At 40.5% G+C, this 27,856-nt stretch overlaps 1 long non-coding RNA gene across 1 annotated transcript in view; it reads left to right on the top strand.

The window, feature by feature from the left end:
* LOC107984626 (uncharacterized) overlaps window positions 1-27,856 on the top strand; it is a 142,002-nt gene that overhangs the window by 93,149 nt on the left and 20,997 nt on the right. The window contains exon 3 of the long non-coding RNA XR_001750000.2: window positions 21,185-21,306. This is a non-coding gene — a long non-coding RNA (uncharacterized LOC107984626). The remainder of the gene's footprint in view (window positions 1-21,184; window positions 21,307-27,856) is intronic.

Here is a 27,856-nt window from a genome sequence, read left to right as displayed (position 1 = left end):
TGAATTAGGGAAAATGATTTCATTCTTTTCATTGTGGTGACTGGTCCTGTGGTTTTCAGTTGGTATGAATAGCCAGTGTTGCCCAGTGTGGGGATAGAGGTAGGGTTTTCTAGTAGCCCCACATGGCCTGGGATTTCACAGTCACACAAAGGCTGATGGTGGGTAAAAGATCAGATGGCACTGTTAACCCACAAGTTGGTAAATCTGCCCACAGATAAAATCAAGTTGACTGTATTTGCTTTTCATCAGTCTCTTTTTAGTTACTAAAATTTGCTAGCTAAACATTGGCCAGTTTCAACCTGCTTAATTTATGAAAATTGATAAGATCACAGACCATTATTCAGTGGCTTCAGTAGTGCAATTTTCTTTTCCCATATTCATTCAAGTTGTTTGAATATCGTGTTATTCTTGTCCTCATCTTCCTTTTCATTTTTTTTCTATTGCTTTGTTGAAAAACCAAAGCAAAAGCTTTTAGTTAGCTGATCTTATTCTGTAGAGTTGACAGTCTCATAAGGTTAGAATTGTTTTATTACAAAAGCAAACATTTGAGACCCCAGATATACAGCTAAGAATGTTTGAGAGAGTAGGTGACTTCAAAGATGAATAACTAGATATATGTCTACAGTTTTCAGGTTTTATGAAATGAAGTGGAACCTTTTTTTAAAGCATTCTTTAAAATGTTTTTTTTTCTTTTCCCTGATGATAGGATCAGTATTGCATATCAAAGAACATTATTTTCAAATAGGCACAAATACACACATACCACAATCACTTGTTTCAGTTCCTTTATTCTTTTTGAAGAAGCAAATATTTTATGAGTCTTAAGAGATCAATTCTCCATGCTCTTGAACCACATCAAGTTGCCCAAATGGAAGAGGAGTCTCAATGAAGGGTTTATGCAAGGAGGCGGAGATGTTGATTTCAAGGCCTCACCTCGCTAACCATCTTAATTCTGTTGATGCTTTTGTACCTAGGCAACGAATAGAGAACATTTTAAAAGTCTGACTTCTTAATTAGAGGAATACCAGACTGGATACTTATTACAAAAGAAAAAAGCTACATTATTACTATTTTTTTTTGCTAAAATACAAAGACTTACATTTGATTAGCTGCAAGGATGAGACTCATTAGCTCCACCATAGAAACAAACTCTTGAATAACAGAGGCAGTGGGAAGAGATTGTCAATGATCTCTGCACGGCAGCTGATTGTTCTCTAACAATTATTAGAAATAGTGTGATATGAGACATATAACACATATGGCAAGGATGGTGCTTCTCCTGTAGTTAATGCTCAGTTCACAGGGCTTCTTCATCTAACTTGAGACAAATGTACAGAGGTCTTTGTTCAGTGGCACAGTTAACTTTTCCTTTGACAACTTTGAGCAACAGGAATGTGGCAACAGAAAACCTACAGGTGAGACGCTAAAGCAGAGTCAAGACATACTTAGATGTGGCCAGGATCTGTTCTGCCTCAGTAAACAAAACAGTAGAGGTATAGGAATATCAGTAGAGTTTGTCTCAAGAATCACCACAGATATTTTGTAGTATTTGCATCTTTCACTATAAAAAAGTCATTCAGATTCAGTGCAAATTTCCCCCTCTTGCTGCAATGCCTGAGCTTAGCGGCTGCTCTCCCCTGGAGTCTGAACAAAGCTGGCACCTTGCTATAAACTGCGTATTTCTTACCAAAGTATTTTAAAAGTACTAAGGAATGTTTAACTGCAAGTAAAGGGGAAAAGCCACACTGGGAACATCTTTTTCCAAGAAAATGTCAAAAGCTAATTCACTTAATTAAAAGTCTGAATTACAGCACCTAATTTTTTTAATTGAATGAGAATATTACAATAACTGAAGACAAACAATGTTTCTAAGCAATTTAGGATTCACCTTAAACTTAGAAATTCAAAATTCTACAGCAGAATTGATCTTTATTTCCGCATTTAAAAAATCTATGTCCTATGTTTTTTAGGGGGGTTTTCAATCTAATAAATGAAATTTTATAGGCTACGCATGTAGAAAATGACCTGAACTTCTCCGTACTCGCTGTTTATAGCTATGCATTGTCATCCTAAAAGCAATCCTTTACAGCGTTCTGTAGAACATGTTGAGAAACTTAAGTTATTATTTAGGAGGGGAATCTTTGAGGTAATACAGCTATTCCCATGACGGCCTAGATTCTCTACTGTCTAAAATTCTTTCTGGGCAGTCATTGAGTAGAATGGTAGGCATTTAAAAGCGTATGTATTACAGGTCTAAAACTGATGAATAGAGTTAGCAGGATGCGGAGAGGTGTTCTCACCTTCATGCTGCTGCTCATCGGATGAAGGTGGTGAAGGGGAAACAGTTCTCTGCCAGCATGGAGGGGGATCCACCAGCAGCTCATCTAGTTGATATTCGCAACCTGAAGTAGTAAGGGCCATTCATCCAAGTGGTGAATGGGACTTGAATGTATGGGTAACTCAGATCCTAGCCATTGAGACATTGTGTACATCGATCACATTCACAGCTTTAAGGAAAGCAACCTTTAAAAGTGCCCAATGTGTGTTTTTGAGGTGGTGATGGGTGCTACGTGGGAAGAGAACAAACCAGCAAACCTGGCTTCTTGCAGTCCCCACCCCCTTTTTTTTCCCTATATATGAGTGGGAAAAATAGTCCTCAGCTTGCTTCCTAGGTTTGCTGGGTAGATGCACACACTCGTGAAAGTAAAATGCTAGGACAATCAAAGGACATAAACTCAGCCCTGAATGTGCAGAGACAGCTCAGTTTCTCCTGTTGGGCCTGGAGAGGGGAATACTGAACTGTAATCTCTCAGTGTGGGTTTCGGCTGGCTGACAACAACCTCATTAACAGTGGCAGCCAGTCGGGTGCGGCTTAACTTCCATACTTGGTGGAGAGGTACGCTAAGAAGAGTTCGATGCAAAGCCTTCTATCCAGGGGGGTACAAACCAGCAGGGAGGAAGGAGTTGGTTTCCCAGGGGGCTTTTAGGGGTAATCTTGTTAAGAAACGTAGGAAGATTATTTAAATGCCTCTTAAGCAGCAGTTCCTCCCTCTTGATATTTTCAAGGCCGGTAATCTGGTCTTTGTTTTATTTTGGTGCTGCCAGTCCCACTAGTGATAGGGTTGGCATGCAGCTGATATTGGCAGCGTGCTCACTGTCATCAGATGCCAGCTTAAATGGATGCTGCACTGAAAAGCCAGCATCCTGTGCTTCCAGTGCCAGCCCTGATTTGTATGAAACCAGCAGGTAATTTTCTTTGTTTGGAGCAGTGATTTTTTTTCCCTTTTATGATTCACAATTAATTTTCTGGCTGGAAAATAATATCTGGAAATACTGTGTCCTTTATACATCGTTACATAAATAGGCACAGAAGGAGAAAATTGGTGAAAAATGCATTTCATTGACATTATTTGTGTGAGTGTGAGATTCCTTCTATGTAGTTTTGGCTGATTTTGTTCAGGTAAAAATTGAGCCTAAAGGGCCTAACGGCAAAGGTTAGTGCTTTTCTTACTGTGTCAGTGAAATAGGAAAAGCTGCTTAAATATTCAGTTATGATCTGGAAGTTTTTCTACAATGCACTCCAATTTAGCCCCCATCATGTCCATCACTGAACAGAAGCATGTGTAATAAATAGAGAATAGTAATTTATTTTTCAGATAGAAGTGAGAATCGAAGGCATAGATTTGTCTTCAAACAGGTTGACATGACTCACTATGGTTTGGCGTATGACTGCTTCCTTCTTAAGTAGCTAGTTAGCTGAAAAACCTTGTATTATTCATCATCTTTTTTTTCCCTTTCCAGAGAAACCTGTAAAACATGCTGACTATATAAGCTATTCTCAAAATACACGGTCATTTTCTTGGAAGAAGGAATGGTATCGGGTTGTTGATTGTGGAATGTGGATTGTAGTCAGTTATGCTAACATTTCATTTAATCCCTTCAAAATTAAATAAATTAAATGCTAATAAAACTCTTTTACTGAGGTGTCTACTAACCCTGTGACCGTCTCAGAGGGATACCTACAGCTGCATTTGGGGTTCCAATATAGTGTAAGATTATTTTCTCAAGTTTCAAGCTTAAATAAGCTGAAGATTTTGTTGATTCTGGGTTGAGATGGGGGGTGGTTGTGTGAGGATTAATGGAGCCATTTTGAAAACCGTTGCTAATCAGGCTAAAATGAATCACACATTTATAGGGATGTTGGCCTTTTTGCATTTGTGTGCATAGCAGACACAGTACACTCAGTATCTCCTGTGAACTTATTTAAGTCAGTAGTAATTCCTTGTTAAATATCCAAATCTTTGGGGAATCAAGCTGTAATCCCAAATAAACTAATTGTGGAAGGTCACATGTAACTGACTATTATGAACTTTCGTGAAGTGGGTAGCAAGGTGATTAGAGTTTCTATTTGACGACAGCTTCCTATAGACTAACAGTTCCCTGATGGCAAAGCTCATTTTAAATAAAAGCATCTGAGTTATTTTCTGAAGATTTGAAGGCATTTTTTTTTCTTTGGAACATCTGAAGCAAAATTGGTTTGGAGAAAACACAAGAATCACTGCTAAATTAAAAAAGGATATTAGAAAATATTTCTGTGTTTTTGAATTTATTAGTTTTTATTATATTTTTCAAGGCATGATGAACGTTGTTTTCATGTTGTTACATGTAAAAAAGTAATCCAGTAATCAAATTGGTTGGGTAGAAATGGCTCCTTCAGATAGGCACTTCTTTAAGAATATATTCCAAGACAAGAATTTCTAGAAAATTCTGTTTCTGTGGCCTAAAAATGGATGAAAATGCTCAGAAAATAAAATCCTTTGCTTGCCAATAGCTGTAATCACTTGAAATAATATGATACACTGGCTAATCACAGCAAATGTGAAATATATTTAGTTTCACAAGTAGAATCTGCACTTTAGCCACAATGTGTGATTTGGTAAAGGAAGCTGGGGCTACGTGGGTGGGTAATTGCACCCACCCAACTCCGCTCCACCCTGACTGAGGCTGTGTGTCCTTACAGAAGCATGTGTCACAAACTAGCCTGTGTCTTCATTATGGTAAACAGTAAAATATGTTATCTTGGTCAGTGGTTCTGCATATCTGAGGGACAATTTTAGTTAACGGCTGAGGTAGTTGGATGGTGTACAATTCTTAGGCTCTGGGTAGTTTCACATTAAACTGATGTGACCGTGGCTGAAACTGCTATTCAGCATTCTGGGTTAGGAGGCAAGAAGGGGCTGACATCCTCAATCCTATTTAAGCAGGATAAGAGCAATACAAATAAACTATAGACTAGTTTCAGCAGTTGGCTGCCTAGAAATGGTTATTATGCCTTATGTTTTCAGTTGGAGTTTTGTGAACAAACCTCACATATTTGTTTAAACCTTTGGGGTGAGGCAGAGTGGAATTTTGCTCAAGATAAAATTTATGCTTAGGTTTGTAGGATAGGAAAACATTTTATAAATTTGGGAGCTCCAGTGTTAGGGGCATATATATTCAGGATTGTGATATTTTCCTGTTGGACTAATCCTTTCATCATTATATAATGTTCCTCTTTGTCTCTTTTAACCGTTGTTGCTTTAAAGTCTGTTTTGTCTGATATAAGAATAGCTACTCCTGCTTGCTTTCAGGGTTTCCATTTGCATGGAATATCTGTTTCCATCCCTGGGATAGAAAAATGCAAAGGCTCCCCCTTACCCCAGCTTTTGTAGACATTCAGGGATTTGATGAGAAAATTAAATGAATTTCTGTTCATTGAAGAGATATGGTACCATGCAGCAAAACCTATCCCAAGGCCCTGGGTGGAAGATGCCTCACTATTCTGGTATGTAGCATGACAACCTTGCTATTTTTTAAAACATAAGTTGTGGGCACAAGCACTCTGGAGAATCTTAAAATACAGCTACATGGAAAAAAGTATCTTTAATGGCACAGCTCCATCTCCCTTGACTGCATTGCTATTGTGAATTCAAATTTTCTATTGGGTAGCAGGTCCTTGGCAGTGTTGTTAATGTCAACATTTTATTTCCATGTGTCCAACCAGCAGGCACCCTCAATTTTTAAAGTATTATTTTTGAGGTTATTCATACCTGTTTGTTCAACATTTAAATTGGAAAATGTTTTAGTCATTCCTGGTCAGTTGTATGTTTTCAAGACTGAGGTAATCCTGTATCTCTAACCACGTGGAAACACTGACTTGGAATAAGATATAAAACAAACTTTGTCTTCCCTAGAACTCTCCAATGCAAATTTGACGACGATCAAATATTGACCATGTTTCCTATTTTTATTTATATTTGAACAAGAAATGATGACAGTGTTAATCTCTAGAGTTACCACAAATGTGACTTTGATGCCTGGGTTTTTTCTATGGGTTACACATGCCACTGAGACTTTGGTGAATGACTTTGACCATGCTTTTCAGGGCGCATTTCTGTTGGGCGCCTGCAACTTCACGTAGAGTGGGAGCTGAGCACAGTCTAATTCTTATTGCCGACCATTGGATGGGTTTAATCTTGACTCCTCATGTAGCCGTAGGGTCATAAAAATCTTAGCTTTCAAAGGGTCTTTGAAGGTCATTTTAGATCAAGCCCCTCCTTAGCAGTTCTTTGCATGTTTCTAATAAATATTTTGCATTGGCTGAGGTTGAAGCGTAGCGACGTTGAAGCGTAGTAAGGCTGAAGGGAGCCGCATGCTTCAGAGAAGCAGTGGGTGAATATTAACAAATTACGAAGGTTAAGTAAAGGTATCAAAATACAAATTGTTGAGCATTGAGCAACCCAATAATGGCAAATGGGAGCTCAAGTTAAGAGCCAACAGCAGCAGCCTCGATTTCAGGAGGAGGGACCAGCAGATGGAATAGGATTGATTTGCCTTAACTCCAGCATCTTTGGTTCTGGATGGCTTTGAAAGAGTGAGATGAACATCCTCCTGGTCACAAATTGGAATATTAAAAAAACAGTGCCTTGTAACTGATGTAAAATGCTAGAGCTTACTTTCATTTTAGGTAAATTTACTAACTTAAAAGTAGATATTTTAATTATTGAAAATAATAAAATGACTAATATCTTGTAATGGTATTCATTCTGATTCACACATTATTTTGTCAAATTATTACAGGTTAATGAGAAAGTCCTGTTCCTTCAGAAAGTAGCAACCTACCAAATAACGTTATATCCACATATGTGGTTTATTTATATGGGTATGTTTACATTTACAATAATAATTAAGAATGATTGAACTTTTAAAAATTACATCTTTTCTCTTCGGCCAGAAAATGTTTGCTATCTGAAATTGTTTTGAGATCTAGAAGAAAACAGGGCAGCCCAAGTAACTGAGAATAAAGGAATTCAAACTAACATTTTAAATAGAAACTTCACGTGGATGTGGAGAAGACTGTGGTGTTTAACCACTCAACATGTGTTGGACTGCCACCGTGTTTTAATTGTAACAGGTGAAATATTTGCCAGTAGAAAAACAGTCAAGAAACATTAATAGAAAGTTACAAGGAATGTAAAGATTAATAAATCAGGGAATGGAAGGGGGAAAATGACAACAGAAAACTAGCAGTGTTTTGTTATTTCGTTTACCTTCCTTAGGATAATTTTCTCCTCGTGATAGTAAAGCCGCAATAGCACTCGATCACACAGATAGCTGGCGTGGCTACAAATTACTTGATAGTGTTTGTCAACTATTGAGCACTAGACAGTCTTTCCAGCCATACCCTCATTCACAGATTGTGATCTCCATCAAATCTTTTTCTGTGAAAATGCAAGCTAATGTGGTTATGGTAGATGTCCTTTAATCTATAGCTAGTGCACACTGGAGACTCATGAATCGCTTTTTTTTTTTTTTTTTTTTTTTTTTTTGAGACGGAGTCTCGCTCTGTCTCCCAGGGTGGAGTGCAGTGGTGCAATCTCTGCTCACTGCAACCTCCACCTCCTGGGTTCAAGCGATTCTTCTGCCTCAGCCTCCAGAGCAACTGGGATTACAGGCACGTGCCACCATGCCTGGCTAATTTTTGTATTTTTAGTAGAGACGGGGTTGCCTCATGTTGGCCAGGCTGGTCTCAAACTCCTGACCTCAGGAGATCCACCTGCCTGGGCCTCCCAAAGTGCTGGGATTAGAGGTGTCAGCCACTGCGCCTGGCCTATGAATTGCTTTTGTAAGGACACTGTTCAGGGGAAAGGCTTTCCTTGCTCTCCGAGGTGCCAAAGCTCTTAGGCACGCAAGTGTCCAATGGACAGATGGTCAACTCAAGTACTCAGCCAGGAAGCGCATGTGGACAGAGGAGTTGCTGGGTGGAGTTCCTGTGGGCTGACCATGCTACTACAGACGGCACTGCCCCTGTGTCTCTGGGGCAGTTGAGTCCCCAGATGGAAACAGGAGGACAGCTGGCTCTGTAGCTCCGTGTTTCCACAGAACCTTCTTGAGGAACTGCTTCAGCTCAGCTTCAAGGTGACCCTGCTGCCTCCTCTCTGACCACATGCTTGTTTTTTTTTTTGTTTTTTGTTTTTTCCCTGTTTCCCCAGGCCACTGTCGTTTAGACCTAGCCATGGAGAAACAGGCTTTAAGAAATTTGTTGTTGTTTTCTGACACAGAGTCTCTGTTGCTCAGGCTGGAGTGCAGTGGTGCCATCTCGGCTCACTGCAGCCTCTGCGTCTCGGCATCAAGTGAATTCGTGCCTCAGCCTCCCAAGTAGCTGGGATTACAGGCATGCATCAGCACACTCGATTAATTTTTGTACTCTTAGTAGAGATGGGGTTTTGCCCTGGTGGCCATGCTGGTCTTGAACTCCTGACCTGAAGTGATCTGCCAGCCTCAGCCTCCCAAAGTGCTGGGATTACAGGCCTGAGCCACCGTGCATGGCCTGACTCTTGAAGTACATCTCTGAATCCCTCTGCCTGGAGCAGCTCTCACAGATTCAGTGATTCCACAGAGGATGACCAAGCCTGTGGGTGAGAAGTGTTGATGTGAGGAAGAGATACACCTAGAGCATTGTCTGTGGGGTCAGGAGGGGAGAATGAGCAGTGGAGTTGGTGACAGCTGATCCCATCACATGTCCATTTATAGAAAAAAATTATTTTTCTTTCTTGTGTTACAAACCCACACTCACATATTCAAATGACTGCCATTTTTATATCAAGATGACAGTATTTCTACTAATGTGTGGAAATGTTTCTGAAAAAACTGAAGTGTGTCTAACATTTCTTTTGACAGTATACATTTGCAGATAGTTTGTTAGTTTGTGCCTGTAACCACTGTTTCGTTGCACTCTGTAATGTCAAAACTTCGTTTCTTAGGCTCTTTTGAATGCTACATTAACTCATTCAAACACAGAATCAGTAAAAATAATACAATTGACACAAATTGAACACTTACTATATGTTAGGCACCACTGGAACTTCTCTTCATGCACGAATCATCATAGTGGACTTGTGTTGTCCCCATGTCACAGAGGACCAACTGAGGCACAGCTAGGAGACGATTCTTGATTCAGGCCACACAGTTTTGAGGTGGCAGGGTTGAGATTTGAACCCCAGAAGATGGGCTGTAAAGTTGACAGTCCTCACCAAATACTATATTGCCCCTTAGTTTGTCAACGGGCATCCCAGTGGCCAAGCCATAATTAATAATACTCAACTAGAGTGAGAACCAATGTGTTGTCTACTCAGCACCTCTCTTTCCTTGAAAATTGTCTTCCTTTTTTTGAAGAACTGCCCTTTTTATCCTGTGAAACCTGAGTGGGTACTAATAAACTTTCATGATAGTACAACGTTAAAGCCTCTGCCCTCACTTGCTGCCCTTCCGCTACGATTGGGAACCCGACATAGTTGGATCGAATAGAATGCTTCCCTGGAAATTGTGGAGCTGGGAGTGAGAATGAGAATCCATTCTTTCTCCACCAGGCTCAGGTGGGAACCAGCACAACTTCAACAGTATCAGCGCCATGTCTTCTGCCATGTGGACCAGGGGAGTGAGGTACGGCAGCGTGACAAGAGAGAAAAGGCAAAAACACGGCAGAGGTAGAGAAGGGCAGAGCCGGCGCTTGCATCCCACGCTCTATCCCAATGTTTTGAAGTCTCAATATGCTTTTCTCCTGGATTTCTGAGAGATATTTTTGTATCCTTTCACAAATATTCTGTTTGACTAACCTAGGTTGAAATAATTTGTTACTTTCAATCAAAAGAATTCTAGTTAATGGAAAAACATGAAATAATGGCACTGTATTCATTCATTTATTGAACACATATTTGAAGAGTGTCTACTCTTTGGTGCCAGGCATTGGTGTTGAGTATACCATGGGAACAAGACTGACAAGATCCTTGCTCTGATGAAGTTCACATCTGTACCCAGAGAGCCCAAAGAAAGAAAGAATTAAGTAAAAGGAGAATGTTTCAGAGGGATAATAAATTAACAGTGTGAGATGCTGAAGCATGAATGGACAAGGCTAAGGTTTGCTGTGTGGTCTTGGGGTGGTTTCTTAGAGGAGGGGATATTGAGGTTGAAGTTTGCATGACCAGAAGGGAGTGGCCTCACAAGTTCTGGCTTCTGGAATGTTCCACATTAAAAAAAAAAAAAAAACAGTGAGGACAAAGGATCTGAGGGGAATTTGTTTGCCATAGTCAAAGTGGAAACTGGATAAAGAGTTGTAGAGATTGACTGATGTCAGTAAAGGAAGGGAAGCTGAGAAAACCAGATTTTGCCCAGAGAGAAAGATAGGCTAAATTAAAAAAAACAAAACAAGTAAAGAAAGAAAAAAAATTGGAAGCTTTCTCAGCTTATGTGATTAGAGAAGGAAGAGAAAAAGGTAAGTAGTACATGATCCCCAAAAGACTATTTTTTTCTGAATGAGAAAGAAAAATGAATGGCAGTAGGGCTACATGGGCTGTGATGATAGCAGCTGGGGTGGGCTTTGGGCCAACCAGGACATTATACTAGTTCTTTCCTATAAAGAGAGAATTAGGCTTTAAAGAGCTGCCACCACCTTGAAACCATGTTATGTTTTAAACATTTGATTGTAAATTGACAAATTATAATGGTATATATTTATGGGGTATGAAGAGATGTTATGATATGTGTATACAAAGTGGAGTGATTAAATCAAGCTAATGAAGAAAGTCATCCCCTCAAATGTTTATCACTTTTTTTAGGGTGAGAACATTTGAAATTTATTCTCTCCGCGATTTTGAAATATACAGTATGCTATTATTAACTATCATCCCCAGGCTGTGCAAACAATCTCAAAAAACTTATTCTCAAGTGTAACTGAAATTCTGTATGTACCCTTTGTCCAACATCTCCTCATTCCTCCTATTCCCCGTGATAGATAACAACCATTCTCTTCTCTTCTTCTGTGAGCTTGATTGTTTTAGATTCCACATGGAAGTGAGAACATGTGGGATTTCTCTTTCTGTGCCTGGCTTATTTCACATAGCATACTGTCCTCCAAGTTCACGCATTTTGTCGCAAATGACAGAATTTCCTTCTTTTTTTTTTGAGACGGAGTCTCGCTGTGTCTCCCAGGCTGGACTGCAGTGACATGATCTCGGCTCACTGCAAGCTCCGCCTCCCGGGTTCACTCCATTCTCTGGCCTCAGCCTCCTGAGTAGCTGGCACTACAGGCACCCGCCACCACGCCCAGCTGTTTTTTGTATTTTTAGTAGAGACGGGGTTTCACCGTGTTAGCCAGGATGGTCTCGATCTCCCGACCTCGTGATCCACCCGCCTCGGCCTCCCAAAGTGCTGGGATTACAGGCGTGAGCCACCACGCCCGGCCCAGAATTTCCCTCTTTTTAAAGGCTGGATTTTATTCCATTGTGTTGATATTCCACATTTTCTTTCACCATTTATCCATTGATGAATACTTAGGTTGATTCTCTCACTTGGCTGTTGTCAACAGTGCTGCAATGAACATGAGAGCGCAAATATTTCTTCAATATGCTGATTTCAAATCCTTTGGATATACACCCAGAAGTGAGATTGCTAGACCATGTCATGATTCTATTTTTAGTTTTATTGTGGAAAACAACTCCATACAGTTTTATACCATGGCTGTTATATTTTTTAACTGAACTTAAGGTTCCTTCTCTAGCCTAATCTTCTTCACCCTGCCTTCCTCGTCGGTACTTATGGAGGTTGTTCCATGATGTAGAGAGGTGACCCTCAGCTCTATCACATCAAAATCTTGTGGAGAGCATGTTAGAGCACAGACTGCCAGGCCCCATCTCAAGAAATTTTTGCCCAATAGGTTTGGAGCTGAGAATTTGCATCTCTATCAAGTTCCCGGGGCTGTGGCTGCTGGTCTGGCCTCACTTTGAGACCACTGACGTAGAGAAGGCTTGTTGGGGCTCATGTCAGCATGGCCTGGGGTCTGGTCTGGATGGAAGAATGCCTACTGATGTAGGACTTGCTAGTAACTAAACTATTCTAAAGTCAACTCCTGATAGATTTAGTAATGCCAACCAATGTTATATTCAAGAGCAGCTTGAAGAGAAAGTGAATTATGAGGCACCCGCAAAAGCTCCAGTGTCTTTAGTGAGTAGGTGTTGATGGGAGATGGTGATGGTCATAATTCCTCTCAGATTGCTCTTTGGGAAAAATGAGTTTGCATTTTCAGGAGCATCAATTTGACACAATTCGAAGTCTTGGCTTCACTAAATCACAGCTCTATTTTCATTTTGAGGTCTTGGATTTACATATATTATGATCTTAACCAAACTACTAAATTTATAACATTTTTCTTCTTCCACCACAATGGCAGTCTTTTAATCACTTTGTTTTTGTAAGAAGCTGTGTAAAGTATTTTGCATGAATAATTATGATTATGTAGTCTCCACTGCAAATTTTTTGTGCTAAGTGAGATGATTTTTACTCTAAGGACTGAAAAAAGTACTTGGGAAGCATATTAAATAGTTTCTTGTGTCACACCACAATAGCACATAGTTTTAAATTTGCAATTAATTCACAGGTGACAAGAATGCTATTCAGATTGCCTATTTCCTATTCTAAGAGATTTATATTTAATATGAGTAACTGACATACACCATAAATGAAATAGCAAGTTTTCTTTATGTTCGATAATAGATCCATTTTATGCTAAAGAAACATTAAAAAAAAGGGGGGGAAAGGGGCCCAAAGAATATATACGTTATACCTTTATGCTGAAGCAGGGAGTAGAATTATTTTCTAGTATATTTTCTAGTTTTATCAGATAAGATAAGAATATGTGCATAATTTACTAAAAGATTATATTTATCTGCTTACCTAGTTCTATAAATATTCTACTAAATTCTTACACTTAGTATTTCATGTAGAGGCTCTGGCTTTGCCATTTCTTATGCATGGCTGGAGTTAGATACACACATCACGGCAAATTCTGAGCCTCCCTGTCTTGAAATCCTGGAAAAGTCTTCCGTCTCAAGTGAAGGGTCCTGCAATGTGTTCACAGAAAGAAACAAGCAAGTTACAGAAGGAAAATATAAATCATATGAAGGGGACATCTCTGTCAGCTGCCGCATGCTCATGTGTGAGGCCATCTTCTTATTTTCACTCCTCCCCTGTTGCTATAGATGGAAGCTGCCCACTCAGAGTACAAACCTGCGGACTGCATTTCTGCTGTATGGTTGCAGCAGAAATTGTTTTGGGTTTTTGCTTTACAAATAGTTATGGGATGGATTTAATCCTATTGTCCTATCTGGTCCATGACTAATGTCTTTGTGCACCTATGGCCCTAGGCCTTTTGGCCAATCGGAGGGCCATCCTTCCTTCTGCGGTTCATCTTTCACAATGTGAACAAATCAGTGAACTTCATGCTTTATTTCCTAATTGGTTGATTAATACGATCTAGTCCATCTTCTCAGTTATTATCACATCCTTAGGCAGCTTTCCTTACAGTATAGGCATCATGTTAAGAACCAGGTACACTTCCTATTTTTGATTGGACAAGAACAATCTCTTTTTTTTTTTTTTTTTTTTTTTTTCATGTAGGCTGTCTCAGATTCCTACTGCTTAAAGAAGTTGCCAAATTCCCCTTTGGCCACAAGCAATCTCTTCTTACATTCCGCCTACATTTAGGTATATCTCTTGTTTTATGTTCATATTGGGTGAAGGATTAAATTTTGATTTACAAGTTACAGTCGTGAGAAATCTATGTGTTAAACTCAATTGTTACCAAAACTTACAATTGCTTTTTTTTCACTTTCTCAGTACTGTTAAAGTTTTCTTTTCTCTTACTCTTAAGCAGTTGTTGCTGTTTCCCTTATCTTAGTTAAAAAATAAGTAGACTGAAAGAAAGAAAGGCAACAAAGAAAAGCAAATTGACTGAGTGTCTTATTACTTGGGCCATTTAAAGATCTCGTGCTAAATTTCCCTTGAAAAGCTCACCCTGATTGATTTCTAATTTCAGTTACTATCTCATACCTAAAATTCCACAACGATAGCATATCGATTTTGTTCCTTTGTTTTATTTCTACATGAACTTATCTGATCCAGGGAATAACATTAGCAACTCACCAGTCAATAGAGCTTTTTCTTTGGTGTATGTTTCTTATGAAGGAATTAGAGCAAATACAAATTCATTTTTAACAGGTTTAAAATCCCTCATTATAAGCTAAGTGTTGCCTGGATGGGAAATATTGAGGTTTTTTCTCTATTTTTTGGCTTATAGATTAAAAATCCTTTCTTCATTTGGTGTGAGGCTTTGCTTTGATTGGGCATAATAAAATCTTAGTTTGCAACTGACTTTTCATATTATAAATCTCCCAGAAAGAAAAAAACAGATTTGAGTTCATTTATTTTACATTTTAGTTTTACGACAAGCATTTAGATAAAAGATAATTCTCTTCTGAATATTAAAGATTGATTTGACTCATATATTATTGATGAAAAGCACATGGAAAAACCAGGAGTAAACATCCCCGAGATGGTACGTTGTAAGCTATAGATTATTTTATATATTCTTGATAGTAAAGGAATTATACTTTTTAAACTTTATTGTATTATATTGTATTGTATTATTATTATTATTTTGAGGCAGAGTTTTGCTCTGTCACTCAGGCTGGAGTGCAATGGTGCGATCATGGCTCACCTCAGCCTCGACCTCCATGGGCTCAAATGATCTTCCCACCTCAGCCTCTGGAGTAGTTGGGACTACAAGCCTGCACCAGCATGCCTGACTAACTTTTCTGTTTTGTACGGACTGGTTTCGTTATGTTGCCCAGGCTGGTCTTGAACTCCTGGGCTCAAGAGATCCTCTCTCCTCAGCCTCCAAGTGCTGGGATTATAGGCTCTAACTTTAAATCTGTGTAACTCTGGAATCCTTCACTTTGGCAAGTTTTATTTATATTTGTCAGCAGCTAATTATAATTTCAAAAAACCTTGTTTTTATATTAAATGCACATTAGAATAATTAAGACAAAAAGAGAAGTACTTCAACTTTTCACTTTTAATAATATAATTTATATGTTTAAAAAAGACCAGTAGGTATCTTCTATTAAATAATCCTCATTAATTGTGTCTACTTATCCAAAAGTAAATTAAGAAAGGGAATACTTTTATCCCCCTCAGTGAATACATTTCATGACACTTGTCTTGAGACAAAAGGCCTTTTTTTTCCACAACATCTTTTTCATGTACTGAGGGTTATTGCAGAGCTCAAGCCATGGAATGGAGCACCTTGGATGGGTCACTGCCACGGCCAAGGTATTGACATGCTTCTAGATCATGCTGAGGGATTAATTTTTAAAAGTATGATTGTTTTCATTTCTAGGTTTTAATTAAATATGCTATCTTTTAGAGTGCATCCTGAAAAACAAGCAACACACAAAGTAGAAAAGAACAATGCAAGGCGCACATCCAGTTTTATAGAATTGTTTCCCACTAGAATGAAAACCTATTTCGAAGTATAGAAATATTTGATAAACATTGATATCCTAGCCCTAGCCTTCCCAAAGAAACTAATCAGATAAAACTAGTGTCTGATTGCTTACTGTCCCTTTGAAAAAACTGGACCTTAGAAGAGCAAAATTCTGTAAAGGCTGTGGCCACAGCATTAAATACAACTGGACCATACTTTGTGGAATGCATTGTGCACAATGGAAAGTAGAATAACACCGCTCTACATTGCAGTGCAGTTAGAACATGTTATTCCAGTCAAATCATCTCATTTTACTTGGCACCCCCTTAGAAGTTTGAAACAGTTTCTGTGGTTTATTAAACCAAATGGATTGCTATAGAATGTCAGGCTCATAGATTGCAGACAGGTAGTGAGTCTCAAGGCATGTGCCTTTCTTTTTCCTGTGGATGTGTCACGTCGGAATAACGAACTGTCCATCATAGAGGGAGTGATTAAATACTTTTCCTTCCCATCAAATGTAATTTCTGTAAGACTGCATCAATTGAAGCATACAGCTAGGAAATTATGTTTTCCCCACTCTCCCCCTGCCATGCTAATTCCTAGATATGCATTAACTGCACATGCTGCCAACACTGGCAAAAGCAAATGCGTCAGCAAAGTGAGCTGATGGAACCCTGTGAGTGGTATTTCTCCTCCTTTTAAGAAGCTCCTTGAGTTCTGAGACAAATATATATTTGTGTTCAGATCAATTCTTGGCCTTACTTTATAATTTTTCTTATAATCATGTATTACTTTGTTGAATGGTAGACTTTTGACTGGCTCTCAGTTGGTAACTTCAGTGCTTTAGGACAAGTTGGAGCAGCATGCAGTTTCTAAGAGTCCTTATGATTTTTAATGGGCTAGACTGGTGAATAGTCATAAGACTTAGTAAAACATTTGGCAGGAAAAGTTAGAATTTCTTAGGGAGATTAATGACCATTGCAATTTTTCCTTGGATTGTTCCACAGGGTGCCTCTGGCCTTAATGAAAACCAAGTGAAAACTTTGAGCCAAATTCTAGAATTATTGTTCGTGCCTTTGCTCATGTGGTCAAAGAATCCTAATGCAGGTTCGAGGCTCTACTTCATTCTGTGGTCGATTAGTTTGTTCATTCATTCACTGAATAAACACACCTATCACGTGCCAGGCAAGAGGATGCAATGAAACATAAAATCCATAATTGTACTCTGGTATCTCATAGCTGCAAGGAGTGACAGGTGTGTAGGCCCATGGGCACGCCACAGGATAACAAGTGAAGACAAAACATCGTGGTGATTCAAATGGAAATGGCCAGTTTTTCTTGGAAAGTAGAGATGCCTTCACAGAGTGGGAGGTTTTTGAAGTCTCAATAGGAAATTTCCTATGTTGACTAAGCATGAAAGAACATGTCGAATAGAGAAAAGTGTTTGAAAATGCATAAAAGCAGAAAACAGCCTGATGTGTTCACTCATGACGAAGGGCTTGATGTGGCTGAAGTGTGGAGTGCAGGGGTCAGGGGCCACGCAAGGTGGACAGTGGGAGATGGACCCAGAGGAGGAAGAGAGGCCGGGTTGTCACAGCACTGAACAGGGGGTTAAACAGATGGAAGTTTCAGAGCCTCTGCAGGACACGAAAGCATATTGTGATATAGTAATCTTACATTTTTGAAAGATCACTGGAGCGGAAGAGGAGAGTGAATGAGAGGGGCTCAGGCCAGAGGCAGGGAGGTGAGTTGGGAGAAAAATGAAAGGAACCAAGAGGAAGATGAGGATGCAACACGGCCACCTTTATGACTCACTGCTCTGGCAGCATGGAATACTTACTCTTGAAGTGGAAGGTGGAAGGAACCACGGCTCATGGGCGGTGGCGAGCCTGAAATATTTGAGGCTTTTGGAAGACAGAGAAGCAGCTCTTCCCCCTATCTGGAGTTGACATCTTTGAGCAAAACAAAGTCGAAAAATATGTGTTGAATTATTAACACCATTTGCTTTGGCCTGTCGGGCTTAGCCGTGTCACTCATCAAGTTTCTCACAGGAGACCAGAAGACTTCTTAGGAAAAAACATTGGCCTGGAATGAAGAATAATACACCATTAGAGCAGCATGATACTAGTAAGATTAATTAGGTTGGTGAATATGTACACTGTAAACCAGCATACAAATATTAGATGCTACTATTGTTTTCCATATGTTAATAGGATCCAGATATTAGCGCCAGTCACTGTAAGGTACAGATGTACTTGTTCTCTTCCACAGCTATAGAATTTGAACTTGAACAAAATAATAATCTCATAAATGCATCATTCCAAAGCATGTGTGTTGTCAAGAATATGGCATAAGCATTACCTCCATGTATAAAGAACAACACACAAGGAATTTGACAAACTTTCCTGGGGTCCCTACATGTCTTGTGTAGAGAGCTATCTCTGAGAATCCAATAGCAAATGAAACCCAGCCCCTGTTTTTTCTCATCCTTACTCTAGTGGAGGAAACAGCAGCTTAGAGGGCAAATTCAGGTACAGAGAAGACAAGGGAAAACAATGCTATCCAGACTGCTGGGTACCTGGGGAGCAAATGGCCAGGCTTGAGGATCCAGGAGGGAAGCCTCAGCTAAGGTGATGCCTGAGAAGAAGCAGACTTTGGTCCAGGAACAGGAGCTGCCTGCTTGGCACAGAGGAAGCAGCATGTCTGGACAGAGAAACAAGTCACTGCAGAGCTGAGAGAGTCTTGCATGAGGGATAAAGGCAAGGGACACTGGTGGGTAGGATAGAGAAATTTAGGAGAGAGTAGTGGCATGGCTTGGTGATGGATGGGATGTGGCAGCCAAGAACAAGGGAGGGGCCAAGAGTCTCCAAATTTGTGCTTTTGTTTTTTGTTTGTTTTATAAAATGGATTATTCTGCATGTCACATTGAAAAATCTACTATTTTTTTCTGAACAAATGTATCAAGAATTTCCTTCCAAATATTGATAAATCGATCTCAATCTCTGAAGGCCTGAAGAGCATTATTCCAGAAGTAGGCACCATAATTTGAACAATTGAATCCTGCTGCTGAGCTTCAGGTTGGTTCTGGTTTGGGGTCATTACCAAGAAGACTGGAATGAGCAAACTTATCCACGTAATTCACAAGTCGGTACTTTGATTTTTGAAGGATAAAGTAAGCAAACGAATAAGAAAAATATAAGAGATTTGATATATGTATAGGCAAAAAGGCATGATAAGGGTAGTTACAGCAGAGAAATTGCAAATGACAAATACATTTCTGAAGACGTTCACATCAGTGATAGGGGTAGTTACAGCAGAGAAATTGCAAATGACAAATACATTTCTGAAGACCTTCAAGTCAGTGATCAGTGGTGGGGTAGTTACAGCAGAGAAATTGCAAATGATGAATACATTTCTGAAGACGTTCACGCCAGTGATGGGGTAGTTACAGCAGAAAAATTGAAAATGACGAATACATTTCTGAAGATGTTCATGTCAGTAGTCAGAGAAATGCAGACACACAAACCAAAACAGAGAAAAAATTAAAAACAAAAACAAAAAACAAAACCCCCCAAATGCCAATTTCACCAGTTGGCAGAGTTGAAATATATACATAATACCCTGTGGTGGCAAACGTGAGGGGGAAATGTCGTTCTTAACCACCATTAGTGGGATTGTAAGTTAAGTTTTTGAGAAATAATTCGTCTGTATTTAATGCAATTAAGCATGCATAAACCTTTGACTCAACAATCCTACCCCTGGAAATTAAACTGGGATGTTTTCACAGAATGTCTAAAAACATACGAGAAATGGGTGCTATGGGGAATATGTTCCCAACTATTTTTACTGATAAAAGGAAAAGCGAATTTAAGTAGCAACTTAGGGCAACTGGGAAGAGACACAGAGAGCGATTGTCTCGATATATCAATATTGATCCTACTCTGTAGACATTTCCACATTATATTTAATAACTCCTTTTGGAAAAAATAAATTGATAGATACTGGAGTTTTCTAATCTGTTCAAAATGCATGCATGAAAGGCATACATTACTTCTAAACTAACCAATTAAGTCTTACTTCAGGTTAAGAGGCTTGTGAAGCCTTCTCTGCAGCTCATGGAAATGCTGCAGAAGAGGCCTGGGGTGGGGTGGGAAGGGGCCAGGATCACCAGACTGAAGGAAGGGCTGGTTCTCTATGCCCAGCCTCGGGCTCTGGATTTGTTTGTAATCTAACTCTTTAATCTAAGTCTATAATTTTCATTATACCTGAGGACATGGCTGTCAGGGAGAAGCGGCGCTGTGGAGGCCAGAGGGACACTCAGAGCCTTGTGGGCTCAGCGAAAGGCCGGTTAGGAGGGCCTCTCACTTAGGGAGGTGCTCACGGGGTTGAGGCGGTGCCTGGGGGATGCGAGCAGCCGGAGATGAAGGAGGCACAGGCGGGAAGGCTGCATACTCTCCCGATGGCAGGTGAGCGACATCGGAGGCAGCTTCGGCAGACGTGGCCTCAGGTGGGACCATGAAAAGTGAGCCGCAGAGCGGATGTTCTGGACAGAGCCTCCGGCAACGTGCTTGCCGATCTCTAGGCAAAGAGTTGGGAGGTCATCCCTGGAGGGTCCTTCTGGATCTCCGGTTCAGAGCAGAAAACTGGCTTCTCAGGGGGGAGTAGACGTAACAAATTTAACACACCCGTATCATTTTCCTGTGCCTGCTGTAGCTAACTGCCACAAAACGGGTGGCTTACATCAACACAATCAATTCTGTCACGGTTCTGGAGGCCAGAAGTCTGACGGGGGCGGGCCGTGCTCTCTCTCCGAGCTTCGGTGGAGGACACTGGCGCTCCTGACCTGCAGTCCTGTCACCGCAATCTGCGCCTCCATGGCCGCAGGGCGCCTTCCCCACGTCTGTGTCTTCGCAGGCTGTTCCGCTCTCTGTGGGTTTCTGCGTCTTCTGATGACGACAGCAGTCACTGGAATAAGAGCCTCCCTACTCTAGTACTTTCTCATCTTAGCTGATGTTCTGATGGTATCTGCAAAGATCCTGTTTCTGAATAAGGTCACATTGATAGGTACTGGAGGCCAGGACTTCACATGTCTTTTGGGGCCACAATTCAACCCACACCCCCACACCCCCACACCAAGCACGAATTCGGTAGTGCCTCTTAGGTGGTGGCCTGCTTGGGGGTGGTCATGGTGATACAGAATGGCTGGGCTCCGGGCTAAACCCACCCTTAAGCCTGGAACTGCAGCCCTAAGTGAAAACAGTCCGCCCTGTTTTTCCACCCAAATGTTGCCTTTTTGGTCTGCCATGCCCCTATCCTGTGCCCATACAGAGACTTCAGCTCGCACAGCAGCACAAATGGCTGAGTGTTGGGGATACAAGTGGCTGAGCGGCGAGCAGAGAAGCAGCGACTGAGCTCTGGAGACTACAGATAGACGCAGCTAACTTCAGACGGTGAGTCTTCAGGGGAAGAACACCTTCCCGCACCATCCCCTTTCCAATTCCCCATCCCACAGAGAGCCACTTTTGTCATCCAATAAAAGCCTCTGCATACACTAATCTTTAATTCTTTCATGTGACCTGATTCTTCCTGGACGCTGGACAAGAACCCAGGTGACCATAGAGCAGGGGCTCGGATGCTGCTGCGGGGCCTGCACAGAGCCTGCTCCTCCAGAGAGGAGCCACGGGCTGGTTCCAACATTCGTTCCCTCTGGTTCCCGCACTCACTTGCTTGCATGCTTCCTCTCACCAGGAGTGGCCAGCTGAGTGAAACGAGGCACTCCAGTTCCTGCCCCATGAAGGGGATCAAGGTCAAGGGAACAATCCCGTCTCATCAGTAGTGGAGAGAGATGTTCTAACAAACATGTTTCTCTAAAAGTGGGGCCAGGGGAGACCTTATTGATCACTAGACATAGATGCCACAGAGAACCAAGCTCAGACAAACAGAGTAGCGTTGCATTGCCACAGCCAGCAGCTGGTACATTTTATTTCAAGGGAGCAAAAACTTTCACAGAAATGAAATGCAAAGACTCAGCTTGTACGGATTGTATTTTCTGCAAGTACCCAAGCAATGGCTGAGGACACCACCCTGCAGGAAGAAGACGCATACCAGCACAAATGGCAGTGACCAAGGCAGTGTGAGTCACTCAAGGAGCACCAAAATGAACCGTGCAGAAACTCAGCGCTTACACACAATTCAGGTTTATCACCAGCTGCTTAGAAGAGCAGTCCAACACTGACATGAAAATCTGATAGGTGCCTTTTATGCATCATTATTCACAAAAAGAAATAACTCTATATCTATATCCGTATCTATATCTCCCTGAATTTTAGACTTAGCCATTTTTAATCATAACTTTTTTTGTCTTCTTTAAAGCTTGTGTAACATCCTTTGCAATTGTTATATTTAGTACCTGAACTAGGGGTATCCTACTTAACTTTTAAAGTTATAATTCTGGAGCCCAAAATGTACAAAAGCAAGTTAGCAACTTGCTGCCCAAATCCCTGCTTTATCAAATGCTATTTTAACAAGTCGCTCTTCTCTGAAGTCATGATACATGTTACACAAAATATGTGCTCTCATTCTGGAAGAAGCAAGAGGAGAGGCAGAAAATGGCAGCAAGTATGGCACAGAGAAGCCCAGTTACTAGAACGTGGATGCAAGATTAAAGCAATACCAGCAGTGACAGTGGACTTAGGCATAGTAATCATAAGGAAAATAGCAACACCAATGACAATAGCAGCAATTTTTAGCTTGTCAGGCATCTTGTTAGATGCTTGTATATTATTGATGTTACTTGCAAAATTTCTGCAACACTAGCATTATTATCCCCACACTTCAGATAGGAAAATGGAGGACTAGTATCTTGTTCAAGTTTGTACAGCCAGTTAGAAACAGAATCTGAAAATCAAAGCCCGGTCTACCTGACTCCAGAACCAGGTCTTTACACGCTCTTGGGGCTTGGTTCTAGAGCTCGGGCGGAGAACTTCTTGCAGGGCAGAGGGGCAAGTGGCCTTAGTCATGGGCACTGGGGGAATGGCCAGTAGAGTATGGACTTGATGGTTTTGCTGGCATTCATAGAGCATTACGTGCTAATAGTTGGCCACTCACAGAAGGGGATGGGAATAATCTAGAAGCAAGAAGGAGAGTTTACATAGCCACAAAAGGTGATTACTTACAAGAGGATTGAAGAGTAGATGTACACTTGTTAATTCATTTAATCCTCCCCACAAATCTATGAGTTAGACTCTGTTGTGATTTTCATTGTATGCACAAGTCTTGGGGCAGAACGGCCAGTAGAAGGGAGGGTCTGAGCATTCAGTGCAAGGGTCCTAGTCTAGGGCCTAGGTCATAACCATGATGTTCTTGGTCATGACCCAGGGCTTCTTGGAACATTCACCTCTGCTTCTGGTTGGCTTCCTTGAAAAATTCTTCCCTGGTACCCTGTTTAGCAGATTTTGAACCCCTGCCTGCTTTGTACCCAGCTGTGACAGGCCCATTATTTCATTCATGATAGTGCCTTGTAGGCTGTGCCCCTACTGTACTTTGTGAGCCTGAAGTGAAATAAGGAATGTAAAAGAGCTTTTGAAACAAATGCGCCAACTAAACATAAACTGCTAATTAGTGTCACATCTTGGGAACTGGTTTCTTGGCCACAATACTGTTACCTGCCACTCTTCTGACGAGTTCCTTTCTGAAGTCCACTGCATTCTGCAACGTTTAGTGTCATTTATTTTTCCAAGTAAGTTCACAAAACATTTTAATGTGTGCTAAATATTTTTACAGTTGGTAACAACACAGAAAGAGAAGTGATAAAATGATGTAGATGAACCACTCACTTATGAACCCATAAGGAGCCTTGAAGCCTGGTGGTGGGAGTTCCCCCTGGCTTCTCTGGGAATGGAAGTGCAGTCAGGTCTGCTGATTCTGTTTGCCTGCACTGATGAACTCAGCTACTTCAATCCCTTCCAACCTACCATTCTCTCTTTTGGCTGCTGGAACGACTTTTCTCAATTTTGCAATCTTAGGATTCCTCCTCTACCTCTGTCTTCTCTCTGAGCTCTAAACCAGCAGATTTCAAGAGGGGCAAATCAGGCAAGGTAAGAAGAAGCTTTAGGTCAGAATTTTGCCCACAAAATTTGAAATGAGTTCCATCTGCATTCCAAAGTATTTGCCTTAATTTTAATGTCATTTTAGATCACACTCTCCCAGAGGCCCCCTGTAGAGACCTACAGGGTAGCCTGGGGTCCTCTCAGTTTCCAGTGAGCAGATCTAGTGGGGTTGAGCCATTGTCTCCCTCACTATTCATTCTCTGGACATTAGCCCTGCCATAGAACACTTAGAAGTGGAACTTCTAAATTGTGCCATATTCATGGTAATTTCTATAGCAAGAGTAAGAGGTGTTTGGTGTAGATTTAGTGTCAGCAATAACACAAATCTCTCCCATAGCACTCACGAGTAGAACTAGTTGATGATATGGAGAATTTATGACTTGGGAGACCATTCATTTCAAATAAAATCAGAAAACTCAGGCACTACTTTGGGATTTTGAAAATCTTTACTGTTCTATTCCCAAAGCTGAAATATTCGAAATACAGAAAGTGTCACTTTACCAAGGAGCAGTGGATTAATCTGTACCCCTGGATTAGAGCCAGGGGAAAGAATACTGAAAACAGAGAAGTCACTCTTGGGGACTATCAAACCTAGGTTTCTTGCTCCTAGAATAAGGACACACTCACCTAGATAGACTCACAAGGCAACTTAGTCATCTTTTGATGTCATCGTTTTCTAGCCTGCAATAGAGATATATAATAATGATAGATATCATTAATTGAGGGTTTACCACTTTGTGCTAAGGGCTATACTTTGTTTTATGCTACACTGATTTTCTCTAGTCTTCACTATCATTTTATCAGGTGGTACAATTCCTCCTTTAAAGTGAGAAAACAGGGAAGTTATATAACTCACTCAAGGTCACTTAGCTTGCAGTTCAAGGGCTGGGATTCAGACTCAGGAATCTAGATAGTTTCAAAGTCTGTGCTTTTTCTAATATACTATGACATCTCCCCCAGAAATTGCTATCAGAATAAAGCTTTTTCTGGGAGACATACTTGGAGAAGGACATTTACAAATGGGAGTGCATAGAAACATGAGTGAACAAGATGGTGGCCATTTAAAAACCATGACATAAGAGGAAAAGTTGAAATTGAAGAAGTTAATTAAGTCAGTGAAAAAGTCACATTAGAATGAAATCATTTTGTTGAGCTACTTGGAGAGCTTTCACGCATAAGGATGGACAGTGTCTGTGGAGCCAAAGGGTCATAGGTGAAATATGAAGGAGGCAACCTTGACCCCCAAAGAGCCAAAGCTTTCTAGGGAGCTTGTCCAGCAATGGAATGAGGAGGAAGTTGATGACTGGGGGTGACAGAAATGATTGCTTCTCAAGGTAGTGAAGAGAAGTCTGCTAATTAAGTAGAAGGTTGGGCTGGATGATCTTGGGTACATATTTTAGGTTTGAGATCACATAAATGCCAATTTGTAACACCTTGGTTGTGGATAAGTTTTTCAGCTCCTTCTGTTTATGACAGGGCAAGACTTGACAATGTGACAACATTGAATGCCTGGAAAGAAAGAAGTCTTGGAGACACTTTGCCTGTTTAACAATTTCACTTAGGATTGCCCTCATATTTACATTTTCCATCGAAAGAGGAACAGAGGAATTCCAGTCATTGATTTTCTCAGAAATTCTCTTGCTGAATCTGAGGAAAGATACATATCAAATTTCTATAAATCTAATGTTATTCATAATGGATTTGGGAGTTCATCTGACTAGGTGTTTAAAGGGTTACGAAGACCCTGGAGTAAGGTTTTCCAGGATGGGAATGTGTGTAATTGAATTGTGACAGAAGATCAGAAAGGACTCAATATATGGGTGATTCATTGCAGGCAAGAATAACTTTCCACTTTCCCCATGAACTCTGAATGTCAGTAACGTGTATGTGAATTAGTAGTGTTGCTGTATTAATATATTGTGTTTTGAATATATTGAAAAAGCCACAATTACTTTTGCACCAACCTAATATGTTAGAAAAGTGCATTATTACTGTTTTTGAAATGAATGTTACGCTCATAACATTTCTTAAAGTCCGAAAGGAGTGATATCCTGGAAAATGTTAAGAAAGTCTTGGCAAGAAGTCAGGTTTAATTAAACTACGGGGACTACATCATTTTAAAGCATGATTTTATCAGATTAAGAAAACCAGCCATGGTCCTCCTCTGGGAAAGCCGGGGATGATGGGGAGACATGGACTCTCCTGACATTGATCATTTATTCATTAATTTGGCAAACACTTTTAACCAGTCTGACTTGATTCATCAACTGTGGACACATACGATTGCATGGCTCTTTTTCCTGGTTATTCTCTTGAGCTCCAAATGTCTTCCGCCTGCTGAGGTTTCCAAAGGAACCAGTGACTCTTGTTTCCAGATGTGAGGGATGGCTTATCTCTTATGCAGTGTTCTTTGGGGGCACTGACCCATCCCCAAAGGACTCCCATTTGTTACTGCAGGGAAGCCATGGCTGGTTCAGGCACTGGCCAGGTGCTACCTCTCAAGGTGGCCCCAAAGATAACCACTCACCACTTATCTCTACTGTGGAATCTGAGCCACCAATGCCGATAAACTTGGGAAATTTATTTCAGCACTTTTGCTGCCTTTCTCTGCCAATGAATCATGATGGGGGCCACCCTTACCTACCTAAACAGCTCACGCAAACTTCACTTATCAGAGTAGTGTTGAGCTGGCCCTGTGTTCATTCCACGGTGGGATGCCCCTCTTCCTCAGTGGTTAGTTTTGCCACCAATTGATGTATACCTTGATTAGTTAGTAAGAGGTCTGTTATACCATATTCCTTACCCTATAACTATATTTACATAAGTCACAAAGTATACATGTTATACAAATGCATGCACATAATATTCATATGAGAGAGGACCATTCAAGTGCTGTTTTCAGAAGTAAAAAGATATTATTCAAGGTGACTATATATATTAGGTTGGTGCAAAAGTAATTCCGGGTTTTGTCATTAAAATAATTACTTTTGCACCAACCTAATACATAGACCATGGATAAGATTGGCTTCAATTTCAGTAGCTCCTTTGCAAGGCATTCTACTTCATTTTAGCCTTAAATATTACACGTATATGGCACCAGTAATACTGTCGTTAAACATTTACTGAGTATGTCCTATACAATAGGCTCTATAGTGAATGTTTTCCATACGTAAGAGCTTTACAACAATTAGATGTAGAGACTACTATTCTCATTTTACAGAGGGGAAACTAGGTTTGTAGTTGTTAAAAGTCACAGCTATTGTACATGTCAGGAGTTGAAACGAGGCTGCTAGAGTTAAACTCAGTGCTTTTCACCACCATCCTGGGTAGACACTTAGACCCTTTTAAGCCTCAATTACTTCTTTGGGGAGTTTTTGGTGTTATGGGTTTCACAGACAATTTTATTATTATAAAAGGGCACATCGTGATGCCTTTTCAAAGTTCTCTGTTGATTTCATAAGCGAAAGACAACTTGGCCATGTGAAAAGTTGGTGGATCACAACTTTCCCAGAGGACTCTGGGTATTGTCTTAGGTGTTTATAGGGAAGTCCAAAAGGCCTTTAATAGTTATTTGTTTGCAGTTGCATTCTTTCAACCCCTAACTCTGCCTACATGCCTGTAGAAATTCTTGTTTTACCTCTTTGTCATCACTTTTTTTTTTTTTTTTGGCCAGAATGTACTTAGGTATAATAAAATTTTTCTTTGTTTTACTTAAAATGTAGTGAATTTTTAAACCTGTGGTTGCAAATCCTTTTTTAGCTCAAAGAATTTTTCTTCCTGTATAGCTTTTATTTTCCTGTCTTTTTCGTTAAGAAAAAATTCTGGCCCGGGGCTGGTGGCTCACACCTGTAATCCCAGCATTTTGGGAGGCCAAGGTGGGCGGATCAACTGA

This window comes from Homo sapiens, chromosome 13 (assembly GCF_000001405.40).
Source record: "Homo sapiens chromosome 13, GRCh38.p14 Primary Assembly".
NCBI classification, from domain to species: Eukaryota; Metazoa; Chordata; class Mammalia; order Primates; family Hominidae; genus Homo; species Homo sapiens.
This window is presented reverse-complemented; position numbering and strand designations above follow the sequence as displayed.